This window comes from Homo sapiens, chromosome 15, assembly GCF_000001405.40.
Source record: "Homo sapiens chromosome 15, GRCh38.p14 Primary Assembly".
NCBI lineage: Eukaryota > Metazoa > Chordata > Mammalia > Primates > Hominidae > Homo > Homo sapiens.
Window position 1 is genome coordinate 55378470 of NC_000015.10, and position 24132 is coordinate 55402601.

At 42.2% G+C, this 24132-nt stretch overlaps 1 protein-coding gene and 1 long non-coding RNA gene across 5 annotated transcripts in view, besides 1 other annotated feature; both read right to left on the minus strand.

The window, feature by feature from the left end:
* The window catches only part of DNAAF4-CCPG1 (DNAAF4-CCPG1 readthrough (NMD candidate)), a 143362-nt gene that overhangs the window by 23247 nt on the left and 95983 nt on the right, over positions 1-24132 (minus strand). Inside the window, exons 9-10 of the long non-coding RNA NR_037923.1 lie at positions 10896-10964; positions 7131-7245 (exon numbers count right to left, since the gene is read on the minus strand). This is a non-coding gene — a long non-coding RNA (DNAAF4-CCPG1 readthrough (NMD candidate)). The remainder of the gene's footprint in view (positions 1-7130; positions 7246-10895; positions 10965-24132) is intronic.
* The window catches only part of CCPG1 (cell cycle progression 1), a 53121-nt gene that overhangs the window by 23231 nt on the left and 5758 nt on the right, over positions 1-24132 (minus strand). For all 4 annotated transcript variants that reach the window (NM_001204451.2, NM_001204450.2, NM_020739.5 and 1 more), the window contains exons 2-3: positions 10896-10964; positions 7131-7245 (exon numbers count right to left, since the gene is read on the minus strand). In NM_001204451.2, the coding sequence (NP_001191380.1) occupies positions 7131-7245; positions 10896-10955 (175 nt within the window). In that variant the 5' untranslated portion in view covers positions 10956-10964. The remainder of the gene's footprint in view (positions 1-7130; positions 7246-10895; positions 10965-24132) is intronic.
* Positions 4117-4296: a silencer, noted in NCBI's record as "fragment chr15:55674784-55674963 (GRCh37/hg19 assembly coordinates)". NCBI's record gives its function as "represses an EF-1alpha promoter that drives an FKBP-Casp9 reporter gene in an ReSE screen in K562 erythroleukemia cells {active_cell/tissue: K562}" and the evidence as "EXISTENCE:reporter gene assay evidence [ECO:0000049][PMID:32094911]".

Consider the following 24132-nt stretch of genomic DNA (forward strand, 5'->3'; position numbering starts at 1 on the left):
CTCTTCCTAATATGTTAGGATAGATTTAATGAAATGTCACATACAATTATAGAAGTCACTCCACTGTTGCTAATGAACTTCATTTATTTGAAACTGTCAGGTGATAATTTTGGATAAGAAAATGCAATCATTTAAGATTTTTTTTTTTTTTGGAGATGGAGTCTTGCTCTGTTGCCCAGGCTGGAGTGCAGTGGCACTATCTTGGCTCGCTGCAACCTCTGCCTCCTGGGTTCAAGTGATTCTCCTGCCTCAGCCTCCTAAGCAACTGGGATTACAGACATACGCCACGGCTAATTTTTGTATTTCTACTAGAGATAGGGTTTTACCATGTTGCCCAGGCTGGTCTCGAACTCCTGACTTCAAGCGATCCGCCCACCTTGGCCTCCCAAAGTGCTGGGATTACAGGTATGAGCCATCGTGCCCAGCCACAAGATTTATTAAGAACTCAAAGCTACCTTGACTAAGTAAATAAAACCTCTACCTTACATTACCAAATTACTTGATCCAGTATGTTCATTAATACCTAATATGAAAAAATCTATCATTAGATACCTAGTGATACATTTCCTGAATTCTTAAAAGTTTATTCGAAGTTTCTAAAGACCATTCTAATGGCTGTCAATGCCTGGTACCGTAAGAATAAAAACCGTGGCTTCAAACTATGATTTATGAAAGTATGTATGTATATGTACGTGTGTGTGTGTGTGTGTGTGTGTGTGTGTGTCTAAATGCCTTATAAGAAAACATAAACTATAAAAAACAAGGACTCAGGCGGGGTGCAGTGACTCATACCTGTCACCCTAGCACTTTTGGGAGGCCAAGGCTGGAGGACTGCTTGACGCTACAAGTTCAAGACCAGCCTGGGCAACACAGCAAGACCCTGTCTCTACAAAAATAAAAATTAAAAAATTATTTGGGCATGGTGGTATGTGCCTATAGTACTAGCTACTCAGAAAGCTGAGGCAGGAGGATTACTTGAGCCTAGGAGTTGAGGCTGCAGTGAGCCATGATCATGCCACTGCACTCCAGCCTGGACAAGAGAGTGTGACTATGTCTCAAAAAAAAGTCAGAGAGAGGGCAGTCCAGGCACAGTGGCTCATGCTTGTAATCCCAGGACTTTGGTAGGCCAATGTGTGAGAATCACTTAAAGCCAGGAGTTCAAAACCAGCCTAGGCAACATAGCGAGACCAGTTCTACCAATAATTTTTTTTAAAAAAGAAAGAACTCAAAACACAGAAAAACTAAATGTCACTACAGAAGATATATTTTATAAGAACCTCCTCAAAGAAAATGTGTACAAACAGAATGATGACTTCACAATATATTTTTAATGAAAAAGAGCATAAAGGCCGGGCACAGTGGCTCAAACCTGTAATCCCAGCAGTTTGGGAGGCCAATGCAGGTGAATCACCTGAGGTCAGGAGTTTGAGACCAGCCTGGCTAACACGGTGAAACCCCGTTTCTACTAAAAATACAAAAAATTAGCCAGGTGTGGTGGTGCGCGCCTGTAATCCCAGCTACTCCAGAGGCTGAGGCAGGAGAATTGCTTGAACCCAGGAGGCGAAGGTTGCAGTGAGCCGAGATCATGCCATTGCACTACAGCTTGGGCAACAAGAGTGAAACTCTGTCTTAAAAAAAAAAAAAAAGAAAAGAGCATAAAATATTAAGAAAAGTTAAAAATAATATAACATATAAATTTATGAGCAAAGTACACCAAATATCAACAGTAATTATTTCTAGATAAAAGAATTATAGACCATTTTAAATTTCTTTTGCTTACTATTTTTTTTTCCCTATCATGAACATGCATTTCTTTTTGTTTTTTTTTTGTTTTGTTTTGTTTTGAGACGGAGTCCCCCTCTGTCGCCCAGGCTGGAGTGCAGTGGCGCCGTCTCGGCTCACTGCAAGCTCCGCCTCCCGGGTTCACGCCATCCTCCTGCCTCAGGCTCCCAAGTAGCTGGGACTACAGGCGCCCACCACCACGCCCGGCTAATTTTTTGTATTTTTAGTACAGACGGGGTTTCACCGTGTTAGCCAGGATGGTCTTGATCTCCTGACCCCGTAAGCCGCCCGCCTCGGCCACCCAAAGTGCTGGGATTATAGGCATGAGCTACCGCGCCCGGTCGATCATGCATTTCTTATGTAATTTAAGTCCTGCAAAGAACAGGGAAAAAAAAATATTTTTCAGCATTATATACCCTCTAACAGAAAATTAATTAATTTAGAGGTGAGATTCCGCCACAGTACTCGGCCGGGGTGCTGGGGCCAGGCGCGGTGACTCATGCCTGTAATCCCAGCACTTTGAGCGGCTGAGGCAGGCAGACCACGAGGTCAGGAGTTCAAGACCAGCCTGACCAACATAGTGAAATCCCGTCGCTATTAAAATGGCCGGGCGCGGCGGCTCACGCCTGTAATCTCAGCACTTTGGGAGGCCAAGGCGGACAGACCACGAGGTCAGGAGATCAAGACCATCCTGGCTAACACAGTGAAACCCCGTCTCTACTAAAAATACAAAAAATTAGCCGAGCGTGGTGGTGGGCACCTGTAGTCCCAGCTACTTGGGAGGCTGAGGCAGGAGAATGGCGTGAACCCGGGAGGCGGAGCTTGCAGCGAGCCGAGATCCCGCCACTGCACTCCAGCCTGGGCAACAGAGCAAGACACCATCTCAAAAAACAAAAAAATTAGGCCGGGCACAGTGGCTCATGCTTGTAATCACAGCACTTTGGGAGGCCGAGGCAGACTGATCAGGAGGTCAGGAGTTCGAGACCAGAGTGGCCAACATGGTGAAACCCCCGTCTCTACTAAAAATAAAAAATAAAAAAAAAATAGCTGGGCATAGTGGCAGGCACCTGTAATCCAAGCTACACAGGAGGCTGAGACTTGAACCGGGGAGGCGGAGGTTACAGTGAGCTGAGATCATTGCGCCACTGCACTCCAGCCTGGGCAACAGTGCGAGACTCTGTCTCATAAAGAAAAAGAAAAAAAAGAAAATTTTCTTTAACATATGCAAGTAAATGCATTTCTTGGAAGAAACTGTCCATAGCTTTCAGATTCTCAAAAGGATCTCTGACACAAAAAAGATGAGAATCACTTTTCAAATGAGAGTAGTAATAATCAACGTGTAGGCTTAAAAAAATTAACAGCTATAATCTCTTCTATTTCTGGCCTTGACACATCCACTTTTTTCTCCTGAGGGGAAATGTTCTGTATGCATTTTACTGTAATTTTTTTAAAAAGTTAATGAAGTAATTTAAATATGAACATAAGTGTATGCAGTAATTGTTCAGGAGTCCTATTTCTCTATATAAATAATGTGTGCATCAAATCCCATGTGAAGTATACATAATACAGATTCCATTTTACCAGATTGGAACCAGAGTACAGGCATATCTCAGATATCTGCAAGTTCAGTTCCAAACCAATGTAATAAAGCAAGTCACATGAATTTTTTGGTTTCCCTGTCCATGTAAAAGTTAGGTTTACACTATGCTGTAATCTATTAAGTGTGCAATAACATCATGTCTAAAAAACTGTACATATCTTAATTTAAAAATACATTATTGCTAAAAAGTGCTAGTGATCATCTGAGCCTTCAGTGAATTGTAATATTTTTGCTGGTGGAGAGTCTTACTTCAAAGATGATGGCTGCTGACTGACCACTGTGGTAGCTGCTGAAGGGTGGAGTAGCTGGGGCAATTTCTTGAAGTATGACAACACTGAAGTTTCCCACATGGATTGACTCTCCTTTCATGAAAGATTTCTCTGTAGCATGCAATGCTGTTTGATAGCACTTTGCCCACAGTAGAACAACTTTCAAAATTGGAGTCAATCTTCTCAAACCCTGCCACTGCTTTATTAACTAAGTTTGTGTAATATTCTAAATCCTCTGTTGTCATTTCAATAATATTCACAGCATCTTCACCAAGAGTAGATTGCATCTCAAGAAACTACTTTCTTTGCTCATCCATAAGAAGCAACTCCTTATCTGTTCAAGTTTATCATGAGATTACAACAATTGGATCACATTTTCAGGATCCACTTCTTTTTTTTTTTTTTTTGAGACAGAGTCTCGCTCTGTTGCCCAGGCTAGAGTGCAGTGGCGCGATCTTGGCTCACTGCAAGCTCCGCCTCCCAGGTTCACGCCATTCTCCTGCCTCAGCCTCCCGAGTAGCTGGGACTACAGGCGCCTGCCACCACGCCCAGCTAATTGTTTGTATTTTTAGTAGAGATGGGATTTCACCGTGTGAGCCAGGATGGTCTCGATCTCCTGACCTCATGATCCGCCCACCTCAGCCTCCCAAAGTGCTGGGATTATAGGCATGAGCCACCACACCCGACCAGGATCCACTTCTAATTCTAATTCTCTTGCTACTTCTACCACATCTGCAGTTCCTTCCTCCATTAAAGTCTTGAACCACTCAAAGTCATGAAGGTTGAAATCAACTTCTTCCAAACTCCTGTTAATGTTGATATTTTGACCTTTTCCCACAAATCACAATTGTTCTTAAAGGCATCTAGAATGGTGAATCCTTTCCTGAAGATTTTCAATTCACACACATTGCCCAGATCCATCAGAACAATCACTATCTATAGCAGCTACAGCCTTACAAAATGTATTTATTAAATAATACAACCTGAAAGTCAAAACTACTCTTTGATCCATGGACTACAGACTGGATGTTGTGTTAGCAGGAAACAAAGTAACATGAATCTCCTTGTACATCTCCATCAGAGCCCTTCGGTGATTGACCAGGTATTGCTATACAATGTCTAGTATTTTGAAAGGAATCTTTTTGTTCTGAGCAGCAGGTCTCAACACTGAGCTTAAAATATTCAGTAAACCATGTTGTAAACACATGGCTGTCACCTAGGCTTTGTTGTTCCATTTACAGAGCACAGGCAGAGTAGATGTAGCATATTTTTTAAGGGTCCTAGGATTTCTCAAGGCATGGTAAGTAAACACTGGCTTCAACTTAAAGTCACCAGCTACATTTGCCTCTAACAAGAAAGTGAGCTTGTTCTTTGAAGCCTAGAAGCAGATATTGACTTCTCTGTAGTTAGGAAAGTCCTAGATGGCATCTTCTTCCAATAGAAAGTTGTGTCATCTATACTGAAAATCTGCTGGTTGGGGTAGCCACCTTCATCCATTATCTCAGTTAGATCTCCTGGATAACTTGGTGCGCCTTCTACATCAGCACTTGCTACTTCACCTTGCACTTTTATGTTACGGACATAGCTTCTTTCCTTAAACCTCATGAACCAACCTCAGCTAGCTTCCGCCTTTCTTTCTACAGCTTCTTAACCACTCTTAGCCTTCATAGACTTGAAGCAAGTTAGGAAGGACTTGTTCTGGATTAGGCTATGGCTTAAGGGAATTTTGTGGCTGGTTCAATCTTCTACCAAGACCACTAAAATTTTCTCCATGTCAGCAATAAGGCTATATGGCTTCCTTATCATTCATGTGTTCACTAAGAAGGACTTTTAATTTCCTTCAAGAACTTTTCCTTTGCATTCACAACTTGGCTAACTATCTGGCCCAAGAGACTTAGCTTTTGACATGCCTTCCTCAAATAAGCTTAATCATTTTTAGCTTTTGATTTGAAGTGAGAGACACACAACTCTTCCTTTCACCTGAACACCTGGAGGCCACTGTAGGGTTATTAATTGGCCTGATTTCAATATTGTTGTTGTCTCCAGGAACAGGGAGGCCAAAGGAGAGGGAGAGAGATGGGGGAATGGCAAGTCAGTAGAGCAGTCAGAACACACACATTTATTAAGTTCACTGTCTTTCATAGGCACGGTTCATGGTGTCCCAAAGGAATTACAATAGTAAAATCAAAGATCTCTGATCACAGATCACCATAACTGATGTAATAATAATGAAAAAGTTTGAAATATGACAATTACAGGCCAGGCGCAGTGGCTCACGCCTGTAATCCCAGCACTTTGGGAGGTTGACACAGGTGGATCACCTGAGGTCAGGAGTTCGAGACCAGGCTAACCAACATGATGATACTCCGTCTCTATTAAAAACACAAAATTAGCTGGGCACGGTGGCGCATGCCTGTAATCCCAGCTGAGAGGCTGAGGCAGGAGGATAACTTGAACCCAAGAGGCAGAGGCTGCAGTGAGCCAAGATCATACCATTGCACTCCAGCATGGGAAACAAGAGCGAAACTCCGCCAATTCAATTCAATAAAATAAAATAAAAATAAATGAAATATTATAATTATAAAAATGAGACACAGAGACATGAAGTGGGCATATGCTATCGGAAAAATGGCATTAATAGACTTGCTCAACACAGGGTTGCCACAAACTTTCAATTTGTAAAAAATGTAGTATCTGCGAAGTACAATAAAGCAAAGCAGAATAAAATGAGAGGCATGTCTGTAACTCCATCAACATGATAATAACTGGAAAACAGGTTAGTAAATCTCTTGTGATCAATGAATAATTTTTTTCTTAACTTTAATAATGACAAGTAAATACAAACTACCAAACAAATGACAAGGAAATAGAAACTACCAAACAAATTCAGATTAAACCATGAAACACTTTTTTTGTCACTGGTTACCTCTGTAGCAACAAAGTGTATCTGAAAACCCAAAAATATACTACAGCTGCAAATAAACCCCTGGGGCAGGCTGATGACTCTGGGTTCTGTGGGCCTTCACCAAATCCACACTGAAGTTTTTCTTTGTTTGTTTGTTTTAAATGGAGTCTCACTCTGTTGCCCAGGCTGGAGTGCAATGGCACAATCTCGGCTCACTGCAAACTCCGCCTCCCAGGTTCAAGCGATTCTCCTGCCTCAGCCTTCTGAGTAGCTGGGATTACAGGCACCTGCCAATACACCCGGCTAATTTTTTGTATTTTTAGTAGAGACAGGGTTTCACCATGTTGGCCAGACTGCTCTTGAACTCCTGACCTCAAATGATCCGCCCACCTCAGCCTCCCAGAATGCTGGGATTACAGGTGTGAGCTACTGTGCCCAACCTACACTGAAGTTCTAATCCTCCAACGACCCCTTAGATTAGCCAGAAAGGCCACCCACCTGGAAAGAAGGCAAGACTCATAATATCACTCATATATCATATTAAAAAAAAAATTAGAATTTGTGAACAACTTACCTCCTTGCTCTATCTGCAATGCTTGAAGCTCCTCTTGCTCTAAAGATGAACATTCTGGGGCGGGCTCACAGCTGTCAGTGGGGGTCACAGAATTCAACATTTCTATATCTGACCCCTAAGGAAAAGTGATAATCTTTCAGTTATTTGCCTATTAGCTCCTCAAAGCTAGATTTGACTACATGTAAATGCTTCTTCCATTATTAAAAGTCTCAGATGCTGCCATACTCCAAAGGAACAGTATCTAATTAGACAAGCTTTTGTTCAATTTAGTCCACAAAGGCCTATGGCAGGAAAATGGCACAATGGAGTCTCAGGTTTAAATTCTAAGTCAGGTCAGCCCAAAAGTGGAATGCTCTATTTTATGAGCTCAAGCAATAAATTTGAATTCCAGAGAATAAGGGTCTAAATTTGGTTATTTCTATAATAATTTGTTTCTACTTAACATTTATGGAACTACTCTAGACAAGGCACTTCGCTAGATGCTGTGGGATATAAAAAATTCAAATCTGGCTGGGCACGGTGGCTCACGCCTGTAATCCCAGCACTTTGGGAGGCTGAGGCCGGTGGATCACAAAAAAAGCAAAATTCCGTCTCAAAAAAAAAAAAAAAAAATGAAATCCAAAATTCAATTTTACAACATATTCAGAGAAACACCCATATGCAAATAACTACTTATTATGGCACTATAAACTAAAAATGGCTAAAGCTTTAATGACATGGATTAAATAAACCTATAGGGTTAATGAATACTCTCCTCACACAATTTTAGACTATCTTTTTATTCTGAGGTTATCTTTCCTACTTTGATGTCAGACTGTCTTTTCATTAATAATAGCGGATCATACAATTTTTCTTTGTGTCTTAATTGTAAAACAAAGTTAACCACTAAGGTGATTCCGTCTTTCCCTATGTCCCCACTATAGTCTGCTGACACATGGAATCGAAAGGTCTGCATTCTCTTGCGTATACATAACTCAAGACAGCAAAAATTAAAAGAATTCATGAAAAAAGTAGGGCCGGGGCAGTGGCTCACGCCTGTAATCCCAGCACCTTGGGAGCCTGAGGCGGGCGGATCACGAGGTCAGGAGATCGAGACCATCCTGGCTAACACGGTGAAACCCCATCTCTACTAAAAATACAAAAAAAAAATAGCCGAGCGTGGTGGCGGGCGCCTGTAGTCCCAGCTACTCCAGAGGCTGAGGCAGGAGAATGGCGTGAACCGATGGGGCGGAGCTTGCAGTGAGCAGAGATCCTGCCACTGCACTCCAGCCTGGGCGACAGAGCAAGACTCCATCTCAAAAAAAAAAAAGTAAAGAAAAAAGTAGCGTTTAAGTTGAGCCCTAATGAGAATTCGGAATGCAAGACTCCGAGGTTGTCTATAGTGGCAGGAGAATGGTAGAGGCTAAAGCAAGGTTATGTATTAGGAATTGCTGGGGAAACCAATTCTGGCCCAAATGAGAATGGCAGTAATGGGAGAGGAAAAGGAGACACATGTAAGAGAAATTAGCAAGAAAGAGTAGAACCTGGAAAGCAGATATAGAAGAAGAGAGATAAAAGTACAAATATGATTCAATCTGGGACATAACATCCAGTACAGAACACCCTAATGACACACTTGACTGAGTGCCAGACAGAGGTCTGCTGTCATACTCCACCCTGCAGACTAACAGGTAAGACTCCCATAGCTGCCTTGCTCCTATATTGTTAATTATCCTTGAAGGAGAAGTTGCTATGGGAGTTGATCTAATCCTTTGAAGAAAACAAGCTAAAAATAGAAAAGTCACTGAAGATTTTAAAAAGAAGAATCATCTCAATCTCAAATGATAGATGCTTTTAAATTTTGAAATTTTAATGCAGAAAAGGCAATCTTGTTTTTTTCTGTTAATGTTTTCTAAACATAACTACCTGAACCTTAACTAATAGTTTAAAAAACAAAAATTTTTTAATTTTTTTTTTCTTTTTTTGAGACAGTTTCACTCTTGTTGCCCAGGCTGGAGTGCAATGGCACGAACTCTGCTCACCGCAACCTCCGCCTCCCAGGTTCAAGCGATTGTCCTGCCTCAACCTCCCAAATAGCTGGGATTACAGGCATGTGCGACCACGCCTGGCTAATTTTGTATTTTTAGTAGAGACCGGGTTTCTTCCATGTTGGTCAGGCTGGTGTCGAACTCCCGACCTCAGTGATCTGCCCCGACCTCGGCCTCCCAAAGTGCTGGAATTACAGGCGTGAGCACCACGCCCGGCCTATAATTTTTATTAAAAAAACAAGTGGCCGGGCACGGTGGCTCACGCCTGTAATCCCAGTACTTTGGGAGGCCGAGGCGGGCGGATCACCTGGCGTCGGGAGTTCGAGACCAGCCTGACCAACATGGAGAAACCCCGTCTCTACTAAAAATACAAAATTAGTCGGGCGTGGTGGCACATGCCTGTAATCCCAGCTACTCCAGAGGCTGAGGCAGGAGAATGGCTTGAACCCAGGAGGCGAAGGTTGCTGTGAGCCGAGATTGCGTCACTGTACAAGACAACAAGAGCGACAGCCTGGACAACAAGAGCAAAACTCCATCTCAAAAAAGAAAAAAAGAAAACAAGTGAGGCTTACAATACCCTAAAAACAAATGGGAAAATTATAGATGTCCATTAAAACCTGGAGTAAAACCTGGAGTAAGTATATTTCTGTTTATCAATATACTGCCATTTTTCTACAGTGAACATATATTACTGGTATGAAAAAATAAACAAAATGTACAAGTTATGTATACTTGTTGTATGTATATCAATCTTCTATTATAAAATTCATTTTGTGATAGGGTTCTGGCCTTTTCCCTGTGAAGTTCTGCTATAACGTAAATGGAACACATGTTCTCCATTCTCCTTTCTGATCTGTTCAAATCCAGGATCTATTTTCTAGCTGCATAATCTTGACCAAATTACTTAACCTCTCTAAGCTTTAGTTTTCTCAACTATAAAATAAGAATGAAAACAGTATGTATCACAGTGAAATATTCAAAATTATTTAAGAACAGGGTATGGTGGCATATGCCTATAGTCCCAGCTACTTGGGAGGATCACTTGAGCCCAAGGAGTTAAAGGTTACATGGTACTATGATTGCACATGTGAACAGCCACTGCACTCTAGCCTGGGCAACAGAGCAAGATCCTGTCCCTTTAAAAAAAAAAAAAGACAAAATTGGCCAGGCACAGTGGCTCACATCTGTAAGCCCAGCATGTTGGGAAGCCGAGGCAGATGGATCACGAGGTCAGGAGTTTACGATCAGCCTGGCCAAGATGGTGAAACTCGTCTCTACTGAAAATACAAAAATTAGCTGGGCATGGTAGCAGGCACCTGTAATTCCAGCTACTCAGGAGGCTGAGGCAGGAGAATCATTTCAGTCCAGTGGGGCGGAGGTTGCAGTGAGCTGAGATCACGCCACTGCACTCCAGCCTGGGCAACAGAGTGAGACTCTGTCTCAAAAAAAAAAAAAAAAAAAAAGACAAAATTATATGAAAATGAAAGTAAAGCACAGGGCCTGAACAATAACAAACCTTCAATAAATATTTGCCTAATGTCTCAAAGCTATGTACAATAATGTAGAAGATGCTGGCTCATGAAGCGTTTTCAGCAGTGAAGTTTAATATGAGAGGGAAAATGTCCATTGGAACTTTTTGCTTAAAGGTAGAAAAAGACTGATCTTCAAAGAACACAGTTTACATCACTGGTAACATTAATATTACAAATTACCTTATAAAAAGTATTAAATATCATACCTCATGACTGATGACAGTCCAACCACAAGATGAATCACTGTCACTGGAATTTTCAGACATCTTTCAGGTCTACAAATACAAAAACATATTGACTCATGAGACACATTTTTTTTAATTCTATAGGAAGCACTATATGTGACACTAAGTTTGAAAAGTGGTTTACTGTCTTCCAGGTGAAACAGAGACAAGCCACCCATAGATTTACCATACAGAACATGACAGGACTGCATACCTGTATGAACAGATAGAAGCAAACTTCTAAGATAAGGAGACCCTCCTGGACTAGAACAGTCTCAACAGTTATATTGTTGGAATGAAGGAGAAAGTTATGTCTAAAAGAAAATGTAGCATTTGGCCAGACAGAGGTGAAGGAAAAGGATAATCGTGAATGGGGAGCAGGCAGCAACAGTAAAGGACTCTATTTTCAATGAACAGTAAGGTGTGAAAAACATGACTGCAGAAACTGAGAAGCACAGGGAAACTGAAAAGCTCCTATGCCAAGAAAATGAAGTCTGTATGTTGGCAACATGAAGTAATTTACATTTTCAAACATAGAAGAAACATGATGAAACTGTTTTGAGACGGAGTCTCGAGCTGTCGACCGGTTGGAGTGCGGTGGCACGATCTCGACTTGCTGCAACCTCCGCCTCCCGGGTTCAAGTGATTCTCCTGCCTCAGCCTCCCGAGTAGCTGGGACTACAGGCGCGTGCCACCACGCCCCACTAATTTTTGTATTTTTAGTAGAGACGGGGTTTCACTATGTTGGCCAGGCTGGTCGCGAACTCCTGACCTCGTGATCCGCCTGCCTCAGCCTCCCAAAGTGCTGGGATTACAGGCGTGAACCACTGCGCCCGGCAATCAAACTGTTTTTATGAAAATAACTGTGTCAGCAATACTTCAGTTGTGTTAAAGTTGGGGCAGGGGGGAAGACACCAGAGGTTGGTTACAAACATCTGGTCACTGGCAACAACCTGGACTCAAGCCCTAAGCCAGCATACAATGGTCACTCCACCTGGTTTTTTCTTTTTGTATCTGAAACTCCTTTAAACTTCAAAACCCAACTTAGTAAAGCAAATAGTACTCCTACTGATTTATTCTACATGTGTCTTATGCTTCTGTTATTGGACATATACTGTGAACACATTAGATCCAAGTTCTAATAGAACTCTACTGAAGACAATATGGAACTAGTGCTCAAATGAGAACAGGGCAAAAATACAGATCTATATAATCTGTTTTTGGGGGTTTTGTTTTGTTTTTTGGTATTTTTAGTAGAGACGAGGTTTCACTCGTTGCGAATGTTGGCCAGGCTGGTCTCAAACTCCTAGCCTCAAGTCAGATCTATATAATCTGTTAATTATTCTGAAAACTCCTGTACATTAATATTTCAAAAAGAGAGGATACAAAAAGGTTGGTCGCTAATAGTATAAAAATTAACATGTTTCAAATGAATTATTCAAAACCTGAAATAAGGTATCAATTGTATGACTTTTAATGTTATGACAAGAGCATTTTGTAATAGGCTCACCTGAGGTCATCTAATTGTTTTATTTCTAATTTCAATTAAGGCCCAGGCAGTTTATAACTCTACAAATTTAAAAGTAAACTTACAGAAAACTACTACGGTAAAATAAATTTTTTCTGTCCAGTCAGTAGAGGTTATCCAAAAAGCTACAGTTTAAATACCCTGTAGGATATTAACCACGTTTATATCTTAGCAATTTTATTTCAGCATTCTTTATTAAACTGACTATATTTCTTTTCTTTATTTTGAGTGTGACAGGGTCCCGTTCTGTCATACAGGCTTGAGTGCAATGGCGTAATCATGGCTCACCACAACCCTGACCTCCCAAGCTCAATCGATCCTCCTGCCTCAGCCCCATAAGTAGATGGGCATGTGCCACTATGCCCAGCTAATTTTTTGTATTTTTTGTAGAGACAACGTTTGGCCATGTTGGCCAGGCTGGTCTGGAAGGCCTGGCCTCAAGCAATCCGCCCTCCTCAGCTTCCCAAAGCGCTGGGATTACAGGCGTGAGCCACTGCACCTGGCCTAAACTGACTATATAAATCCCAATTTCTCATTCCACTATTTTTCAGGACTTTCAAAAAAGTTTATGATATGTATCAATGTCTATTTGTATGAGAATCATGTTTATAATAGCTTGAAAATTATGCAATGACAGAAATACACAAAGACTGAGCAATTAAATTTGCAGGGGGAAAGGAGAATGATCAAGGAAATCTCTATAAATGAGGCTGCAAATTTGATAGCATTTTTTAAAGTAAATTAACAGTTGTCAAAATTTAAAAATTGAGATACTACATTAAAATGAAGATTTCTGGAGCCGGAAGCAGTGGAGAGTGCCTATTAATCCCAGCTACCTGGGAGACTGAGGAAGGAAGATCCCTTGAGGCCAGGAGTTCAAGGCTGTTAAGAGCCATAATGATCATGCCTGTGAACTGCCATTGCACTCCAGACTGGGTAATACAGTGAAACCTTGACTCTTTAAAAAAAAAAAAAAAGGGGGGGGGGGGCTAGGTGTGGTAGCTCACGTCTGTAACCCCAACACGGAGAGGCCAAGACGGAAGGACCGCTCAAGTCCAAGAGTTCAAGATCAGCCTGGGCAACATTGCAAAAAACAAACAAAACGATTTCTGATTCCTAAAAAAAAAAAAAAAAAATCAAAAGATCTGATGACAAGGAAAGATGTCCCAGTGAAAAAGGAAAAAGCATCACACAGGAAAAACAAAGGCAGAAAAATGTAAAAGAATATGAAAGTTCTTTAAAAAAATAAAAAATAAAAAAGACAATCTAGTACAAATATAGTTTAAAAGATCAGATTTGATTTTTTTTTTTTTTTTTTTTGAGACGGAGTCTCACTCTGTCACCAGGCTGGAGTGCAGTGGCGTCATCTCGGCTCACCACAACCTCTGACTCCCTGGTTCAAGCGATTCTCCTGCCTCAGCCTCCCGAGTAGCGGGGATTACAGGCACGCGCCACCATGCCCAGCTAATTTTTGTACTTTTAGTAGAGACGGGGTTTCACCATCTCTACTAAAGGCCAGGAGATTCTCCATCTCCTGACATCATGATCCACCCAACTCAGCCTCCCAAAGTGCTGGGATTACAAGCATGAAGCCACCGCACCTGGCCATGATTTTTTTTTTAATTTTTGAGACAGGATTTCGCTTTGTCACCCAGGCTGGAGGGCAGTGACATGAACACAGTTCATTGCAGCCTTGACCTCCCAGGCTCAAGCTACCCTCCCACCTCAGCCTCCTGAGTAGCTGGAACTACAGGTGTGCGCCACCATGCCTAATATTTGTATTTTTTGTAAAGACAGGGTTTTGCCATGTTGCCCAGGTTGGTTTCACACTCCTGAGCTCAAGTGATCCACCTTTCTTGGCCTCTCAAAGTACTAGGATGACAGGCATAAGCGGTTGTATCTGGTCAGATTTGGCCAGGTGCAGTGGCTCACGCCTATAATCCCAGCACTTTGGGAGGCCAAGGCGGGTAGATCATAAGGGCAGGAGTTCAACACCAGCCTGGCAAAGATGATGAAACCCTGTCTCTACTAAAAATACAAAAAATTAGCCGGGCATGGTGGCAAGCACCTGTAATCCCAGCTACTCGAGAGGCTGAGGCAGGAGAATTGCTTGAACCCAGGAGGCGGATGTTGCGGTGAGCCAAGATGGCGCCATTGCACTCCAGCCTGGGCAACAAGAGGGAAACTCCGTCTCAAAATAAATAAATTAATTAATTAAATTAAATAGCATATATTAAGATGGCAGGGCCAAGAGTGGCGGCTTGCACCTGTAACAGCACTTTCGGAGGCTGAGGTGGGAGGATCACTTGAGGCCAGGCGTTCAAGACCAGGCTGGGCAACATAGTGAGACTCCCCATCTCTACCAAAAAAAATTTTTTAATCAGCAGGACATGGTGGCCCACACCTGTTGTCCTAGCTACTTGGGAAGCCGAGGCAGGAGGATCATTTGAGCTCAGGAGTTCAAAGTTGCAGTGAGCTATGACTGCATGACTGCACTCCAGCCTGGGTAACAGAGCAAGACCCTGTCTCAAAAAAATGTTTTTTTTCAAGATAGGGAAGCAACTCAACAACCCTAGACCTGTGGGATGCAAGGAAGCAACATAATATTCCATGAAAAATATGAGCATCTGAACTTAACCAGTGTTGATGAGGGAAAGGGTTTAGAAGATAGCGGGAAGGGTTTTGAAGAGATCTGAGAAGACATGAAAGGTTATTTTATTATTTTTATCATTATTTGGATGCAAGGTCTCACTCTGTCACTCAGGCTGGAGTACAGTAGTATGAACACGGCTTGCTGAGATGGGAAAATAGGGTCTGGAGGCAGGGAACATTAGGCCGATTCACACTTCAGCTATGACAGGAAATATCCTCTCCATAGGGCATACACCAAGTAAATGACTTTGTAACTTTACTTCACCTCTCCATTCACATAGGGTATACACCAAGTAACCAATGGAAGCCTCTAGAGGGTATTGAAACCCCCACAAATTCTATAACGGTGCCCTTGAGCCCCTACGCTAGGGCCCGCCACCACACTGTGGAGTGTACTTTCATTTTCAATAAATCTCTGACTTCATCCCTTCCTTGCTTTGTCTGTGTGTTTTGTCCAGTTCTTTGTTCAAGATGCCAAGAACCTGGACACCCTCCACCAGTAACACAGCCTCAAACTCCCAGGTTCAAGTAGATGCTCCCATCTCAGCCTCCCAAGTAGCTAGGACTATACAGGTATGTGCCACCCTGCCCAGCTAATTTCTTTTTAAGAGTCGGGGTCTTGCTAGTTTGGTAGGCTGGTCTCAAACTTCTGGGCTCAAGTGATCCACCCACCTCGGCCTCCCAAAGTGCTGGGATTACAGGTGTGAGCCACTGTACACAGCCTAAAGATTATTTTATTAAAGGACTGAATAACCAACTATATAAGGGAGAAAGTGTAGGATAGCTCACAGGTTTCTGGTTTAAGTGACTGGGTAACTGGAAGAATTCTATATGAAACAAGAAGTAGGTGAGGGCTTTGTGATAAGAAAAACTGGCTGAAGCCTAAAAAGCATTCTTTCTCCACTGTGTGAAAGCTTCCCTCCTTCCCTTTGCCTGCTCCCATCTTCTAACAGATTACAAAAAAAAGTAAAATACATTACTGACTTGGGACAACTTACCATACTTGAATTTCTCAAATCAATAAGCCCACTTTAATCAGGCCCCAGTTTAATGCTTTGTTTACTTCCTTCAAGGAAAGATAACATTGAAACCAGCCAATTATCCCACAGAACTGATCTTTATGGTTTCTCTGAATAAATACAGAAATTGATCCTCACAGTCTTAAAACTTGAGAAAGTTCTATTTGTGTTATCTAAGCTCCTTTCTTAGGAAACAAACCATCAGGCCTCCTAGATAGTATTAAGAAGCTGAAACTTACTTAACAGATCACTGCAACTGGACAATGAGAAGCCAGAGCCTGCATGATTGCTTAACTGACCACCTGCTGCCTGTTGACCAACTTCTCTTCCTCACCCCTCTCTAATTCCTGTTTGCCCACACATGGTTACATTTCTTCTCTGCTATATAGACCTCTAATTTTAGTCAGTCAGAGATGGATTTGAGACTGAGATGGATTTGAGACTGATCTCCCATGTCCTTGGCTGCAGCACCCAATTAAAGCCTTCTTCCCTGGCAATACCCGTCTCTGTGATTGGCTTTCTGTGCGGCAAGCAGCAGGACCTAGACCAAACCCCTGGTGTTTTGGTAACACCATCCAGCCCAAAAGAGAAAAAGATTTCCCGCTGGCCCTAACACCACCATGACAATTTGGATAAGCAAAACTAACAGGCTTACTAAAGAACCCTATTAATTCAACTGTTCTCAAAATGTTGGGCGTGTACTACAATCAAAGGAAAAAAAAAAAAGTAACTTTTTAAGCCCTATCCTAGACACAGTGAATATGAAAGCCCCCTGGCAGTTTGAACCTCCCCATTATAGCTAGAGATCTTCAAATGATAATCTCATTATGTAATTCCTTTAAAATGTTAAGATTTTCTTCAAGATAATGCCCCAAAGCCTTGAATATCAAGTATTTTATCTCTAGCTCTCATCTCTTTTAATTCATTCCCGCTTTGCCCAACCTTCTCAGTTCCCCTCAAAATGCTTGGCTTTGTCTTTACTCCAGGGCTTTACATATTCTGATCAGTTGCCCATCCCCTTTACCTCCACCGAAACTCCTCTGCTTGTCTCAGCTAACGGTTCATTTCCTTTGAGAACCATCCCTTGACCCCATCCCTAAGACTCTTATTATTTTCTGCATCTGGCACTTAATATAGAATATTGTGCTGTAATTGCTTGTTTACCAGCCTATAATGTATTCCCAACACATATTGAATGAATGCTAAATACATATTAAGCAATCAATAAACAAGAAAGGTAACCACGTCTGGGTGATAGTGCAGTTAATTGTTCTTTACAGAACTCAAAATTAGGCTGGGTGCGGTGGCTCACACCTGTAATCCCAGCACTTTGGGAGGCCAAGGCAGGCAGATCAGGAGGTCAGGAGTTAAAGACCAACCTGGCCAACATAGTGAAACCCCATCTCTACTAAAAATACAAAAATTAGTCGGGCATGCTGGCGTGCGCCTGTAGTCTCAGCTACTCAGGAGCCTGAGTCAGGAGAATTGCTTGAAACCAGGAGGTGGAGGTTGCAGTGAGCCAAGATCGCACCACTGCACTCCAGCCTGGGCAACAGAGCAAGACTCCACCTCCAAAAAAAAAAAAAAAAAAGAACTCAAAATTCTGGAGAAATCCATGAGCTTCCTCTCCCATTAATCTGACCATTGGTAAATGTATAAACCCTCCCCATTTTAAGAGCTTTACTAATAGTAATTTAGAAATAAGCAGAATTTACAGGACAGTTACAAAGGCTAAGAAATCATACGGTTATAAAAAGAAGAATACTTTGTGAAGACAATAAACTTGAAGCTCTGTTTAGGCTCAGGCTTCCTTTTATTCCTCAGAGTAGTTTCTTTAACTCGATCTCTAGTCATATATTTCCAATTGCTTTTGATGTCCCCTTGCAGGTTTCTCAAGTGTTTAACACACAACAGCTACAATACTGAAATCATCTTCCTGCTGCTCCTATTTCTGCTAACTCACAGAATTGCAGTAGCCAAAAACAATACAGCCATTACAAGCAAGAGTCACCACACATTCAGGTCAAAAACCTTAGACTTATGTCGACAAAAACAGTCAAACCCTGTAAAATATTTGAGGAGATTTATTCTGGGATAGATTTATGCTGGGATAGAGAAGCTTAACTCTAAAAACGATGGTCAGGGCAAGCTTCATTGCTGAAGTATATGTGAGCAAAGATTTGAATGAGTGAGGCACCATTATATACAGTTAACTGGAGGAAGAGCATTTAAGAAATAGTAGCTATAAAGCTGAGATCAGAGCTCTACCTCTGAGAAACAGCAAGGAGGCCTGTGTGGATCGCCTAGCAGGAGAGAGGAGGAAAAGATTAAACACAAGATAAGCCGGGCGCGGTGGCTCACGCCTGTAATCCCAGCACTCCAGGCCGAGGTGGGCGGATCACGAGGTCAGGAGATCGAGACCATCCTGGCTAACACAGTGAAACTCTGTCTCTACAAAAAAACACAAAAAATTAGCCGGGCGATTAGCCGGGCGTGGTAGCGGGCGCCTGTAGTTCCAGCTACTTCGGACGCTGAGGCAGTAGAATGGCGTGAACCCGGGAGGCGGAGCTTGCAGTGAGCCGAGATGGCGCCACTGCACTCCAGCCTGGGCGACAGAGCGAGACTCCGTCTCAAAAAAAAACAAACAAAAAAAAAAACCCACAAGATAATAAACAGAGTGGTGGCAAGGGGACAGACTGAGTAGGGCTTACAGATCCTAAGACTCCTTTTAAAAAGCGTTTTAGCTTTACACTCTGAGAACTAAAAGTCACAGAAGCGTTTTGAGAAAAGGAATAAAAGATCACTCTGGCTACCTACTGGGACAGCATTGTGGGGGAGCAAAGGCAGAAGCAAGAAGTTCATTTGCATGGCTACTATGATAATCCAGGTGAGACATGATGGTGGTTTGGACTAGAATGGTGGCAGTGAAGACAGTGAGAAATGGACAGATTATACACGGATTTCAAAGGTACAGCAGCCAACAGGACTTCCTGATGTATTGAATATGGGGTATAAAGGATGACTCCTGGCCTCACCGAGTACTAGAATGGAATAGCTACTGAGGCAGAAAGACTTCAAAAAGAGCAGGTTATGAGAAGAAAATCAGTAAATTGGGCCGGGCATGGTGGCTCACACCTGTAATCCCAGCACTTTGGGAGGCCGAGGTGGGCAGATCACTTGACGTAAGGAGTTCATGACCAGCCTGACCAACATGGTGAAACCCTGTCTCTATTAAAAATACAAAAATTGGCCAGGTGGTCTGGTGGATGCCTGTAGTCCCAGCTACTCGGGAGGCTGAGGCAGGAGAATCGCCTGAACTCGGGAGGTGGAGGTTGCAGTGAGCCGAGACTATGCCACGGCACTCCAGCCTGGGAGACAGAACAAGACTCCATCTCAAGAAAAAAAAAGAAGAAGAAAAGGAAACCAGCAAATTGGTTTGGGGCATTTTAAATCTGAGATAGTTATTATCACATCCAAGAGGAAACATAAAGTAGGCGTCTGGAGACTGAATTCAGGGGAGAGTTAGAGGCTAAATAAGTCATTTAAAAACACTTTGGTGGAGCCTGTCAAAATCTGTAAGAACAACACAACAACAGTATCAATTTTACCTCATAAAATATAACTGGAATGAATATTACCTGATATGATGGTGCCCCTCATCATTCCTGGGTAGCTACATTTTACTATGAAAAAGGTGAGGTTTCCATTACCATTATATCTTCTAGAACTAGATAAGATGGAGAAGAATGGGAGCATTATTCTCCCACACGTCTACAATTCCGAAGTAAGGCAACCAATAGGCTATAGGCAAAGGCCTCAAAGTGCAGCTGTACTGTCATGTGACCAAAGATAAGCGAGTCAGTCTGGAGTGCTTTCAAGAACGTATTTGTAAAATACTTTTCAAAAGGTCTGGGTCTTTCACCTCCGCCAAAGGATATGAAAATGTCTGCTTTAAAACACATCACTTGAGAAAGGGAAGAGGATACAAGATCCCAACTAATGAAAACTTTTTTTTTTTTGAGACAGAGTCTCACTCTGTCTCCAGGCTGGAGAGCAGTGGCGCGATCTCGGCTCACTGCAACCTCTGCTTTCCGGGTTCAAGAGATTCTCCTGCCTCAGCCTCCCAAGTAACTGGGATTACAGGTGCGCACCACCATGCCGAGCTAATTTTTGTATTTTTAGTAGAGATGCGGTTTCACCATGTTGGCCAGGATGGTCTCGATCTCTTGACCTCATGATCCGCCTGCCTTGGCCTCCCAAAGTGCTGGGATTACAGGTGTGAGCCACTGCGCCCAGCATGAAAACTTTTTTGAAGGCTACTTTTTGTCTAATAAACATATGAAAATATTTTAAATGAGCCTATCCTCATCCGGAACATGAAACTGCATTCATTCTTTCAACATATGCTTATTGAGTACCTACTGTGTGCCATGAACTCTTCTAAGTGCTGAAGATACAGGACTGAAAGAAAGAAAACAAAAACAAAAGAAAAACCTCCCCCAAAGAAAAGTACTTTTTGAAGACAGAGTTAGCCAGCTGGTGCCCAGTGCCATGGAGAAAAAAGTGAGGGCAGAGTAGGGGTGGGGATGGTGCAAGAACTGGAATGTTAAATAGGGTGGTTAGGGAAGGCCTCCTTGAAGTCCTGAAAACAGTTCTGAAGAATGAATGAGTAGTTTTCCATCTTTTTTGTACCTGAACACAACTGAGATTTAGTTCTATGGATGAAACACCTAGAGATAAGCTAAGCTAAATATTAAAAAGATCAACTGTCAGGTCGGGTACAGTTCCAGATTAGCCTGGCCAACATGGTGCAAACCTCATCTCCACTAAAAATACAAAAAAAAAAAAAAAAAAAAAACTAGCCGGGCATGGTGGTGGGCACCTGTAGTCCCAGCTACTTGGGAGGCTGAGGCAGAAGAATGGCTTGAATCCAGGAGGCAGAGATTAAAGTGAGCCAAGATTGTGCCACTGCACTCCAGCCTGGGTGACAGAGCAAGACTCTGTCAACCAAATTGAATTCACATCTAAAATATCAAAATGAAACTGATAAAAAAAGATCCTTAAGAAGCAAATATCTGTAACTCATGAAAAGTAGGTTGAGCCTTCAGAGAGTAATTCAAATTATCTAGGTAAAAGGGACTGGAAAGTGAAGACATTCCAAAAGGTAGAGAAAGTAGAAGGCACAACAGCACAGAAAACTTACGTTCTAAGAACTCCACGAAAAGCCACAGGCCGGGCCCGTTGGCTCACGTCTGTAATTCCAATACTTTGGGAGGCCAAGGCAGGCAAATCGCTTGAACTCACGAGTTTGAGACCAGCCTGGGCAACATGGTGAAGACCCATCTCTACTAAAAATACAACAAATTAGTAGGGCGTGGTGGCTCACACCTATAATCCCAGCACTTTGGGAGGATCACTTGAGACCAGCCTGGCCCGTGGCAAAACCCCATCTCTACTAAAAATACAAAAAAATTAGCTAGGCCCACATAGTGGCAGGAGCCTTTAATCCCAGCTACTCGGGAGGCTGAGGCACAAGAATTGCTGCTTGAACCCAGGAAGTGGAGGTTGCACTGAGCCGAGATAATACCACTGCACTCCAGCCTGGACAAGATACTCTACCTCAAAAAAAAAAAAAAAAAAAAAAAAAGGCCAGGGGTGGTGAGTCACACCTGTAATCCCAGCACTTTGGGAGGCCGAAGTGGGCGGATCACGAGGTCATGAGTTCGAGACCAGCCTGGTCAACATGGTGAAACCCCACCTGTACTAAAATAGAAAAATTAGCCAGGCATGATGGTGCGTGCCTGTAATCCCAGCTACTTGGGAGGCTGAGGCAGAAGAATCGCTTGAGCCCAGGAGGTGGGGGTTGCAGTGAGCCGAGATCACACCACTGCACTAAGGCCTGGGTTACAGAGCCAGACTCCATCTCAAAAATAAATTAAAAAGGCCAGGCACACTCCAGTGAAACTCCATCTCAAAAAAACAAAAACAAAACAAAACAAACAAAAAAAATTATAGATATTGCTAAATTGCTCTCCCAAAGGTAGTACAAAGTTGCTGCCAACAACATATGAAAGTACCTATTTCTCCACAATCCCACCAACAGAGTAACAACCATCTTTAATTTCCGCTCATCTCATGAGCAAAATAATAAATTCCTTAATCTGCACTTCCAGGAAGACTTCAGTGGGGCTGTGCATCTTGTGTTTACTGGCTATCCTCATCTCCTTTTCTGTGAAGCATCTATATTCATATGTTCACTTTCCTATTAGATTGTCATTACTGATTTGTAGTTCCTTATAAGTTGGGTCATGAATTAATGTTCTAGCATGCCTCAAACATTTTTAAAGTATCTTTATTATGTTTCAAATTTTATACAGTCAATGTAGAGGCTGGAAAACAGGGTGTCCTTTATAGTATCTAGATTTTGTATCTTGTTTTAGAAAGTTTTTCCTGCTCCCAAGACTATAAAATTATTCTCCTGTATTTTCTACTAATACTTCCACAGTTTTTGGCTTTTACATTTAGCTGTTTAATTCATGCATTTGGATTTTTTTTCTTTTGGTGTGAAGTGGAAATTAAACCAAATATTGAATATTCCACACTTTTTCTATAATTTGAAATGCCACCTTTTGTCATATAAAGTCCCACACATTTATTAATCCATTTCTGTGTTCTCTATTCTGTTCCACTGATCTATTTTCTATTCCTGAACCACTACAACGCTGGTTTAATTGCTATGGTACTGATGGCTTTCTACAGTGCCATTTTTCAACCTTCCCTGTCCCTCCCTAAAAACACACTACTGCTGGGCGCAGTGGCTCATGCCTATAATCCCAGCATTTTGGGAGGCCGAGGCGGGTGAATCACCTGAGGTCAGGAGTTCAAGACTAGCCTGGCCAATATGGCGAAACTCCGTCTCTACTAAAAATACAAAAATTAGCCAGGCATGGTGGCCCATGCCTGTAATCCCAGCTATTCGGGAGGCTGAGGCAGGAGAATCACTTGAACCAGGAGGTGGAGGTTGCAGTGAGCCGAGACCACGCCATTTCACTCCAGCCTGGGCGTAAGAATGAAACTCCGTCTCAAAAAAAAAAAAAAACCACTACTACCCTATAAACATAGAGGCAAAGATGAAAGAGACTGCAGGTTACATACACTTATACCCAGTGCTAAAATATTTTTCTTCCCACTCAGAGTCTGCCCAACTTTAAGAGTAAGTATTCTGTACAATAAAGACACACTCCTTAGTGTGACACTGAAAAACTCCCACTATCTGGTTCTCACCTAATTTGCAACTAATCTGATTAGCTTTCCTCGTCATATGGCTGAAGTAATTTAATTGCTGTCTTCTGAACACAAAATGGACAACCCTAACTCCATGTCTTCACTTCCTGAAATGCTTTTCTTCCTTCATTCTGATTTCTGTATTTAAAGCTGTCTTCTCCCATGAAATTTTCCTAGATCACTGTTTCTGACATACAGATTTCATTTTCCCCTGAATCTATAGCACTTACTATACTTCTCAGCATAATTTGCCTAATGGTAGCTTACACTACTTACTTTTTTCCTTGAGCTACTTTATTAATTAGTATTAAGTTCAAAGTTTTGATAAATAGCTCCAATTTTATTTGTTAATGTCTTTATTATAGCTTTATTTTTAGAGACAGGATCTCGCTCTGTCACTCACCCAGGCGGGAGTACAGTGGCACCATCACAGCTCACTGTAACCTCAAACTCCTTGGCTCAAGCGATCCTCCCACCTCAGCCTCCTGAGTAATTGGGACTACAGGTACACACCACCAAGTCAGGCTAATTTTTGTATTTTTAGTAGAGACGGGGTTTCACCATGTTGGGCCAGACTGGTCTCAAACTCCTGACCTCAGGTGATCCACTCTCCTCGACCTTCCAAAGTGCTGGGATTACAGGCATGAGCCACCACACCCAGCCAATATGTACTTGTTTCTAAAATACTTTTTCTTTATCGTAAATATTCTATATATCAACCTAACTTGAAGTTAAT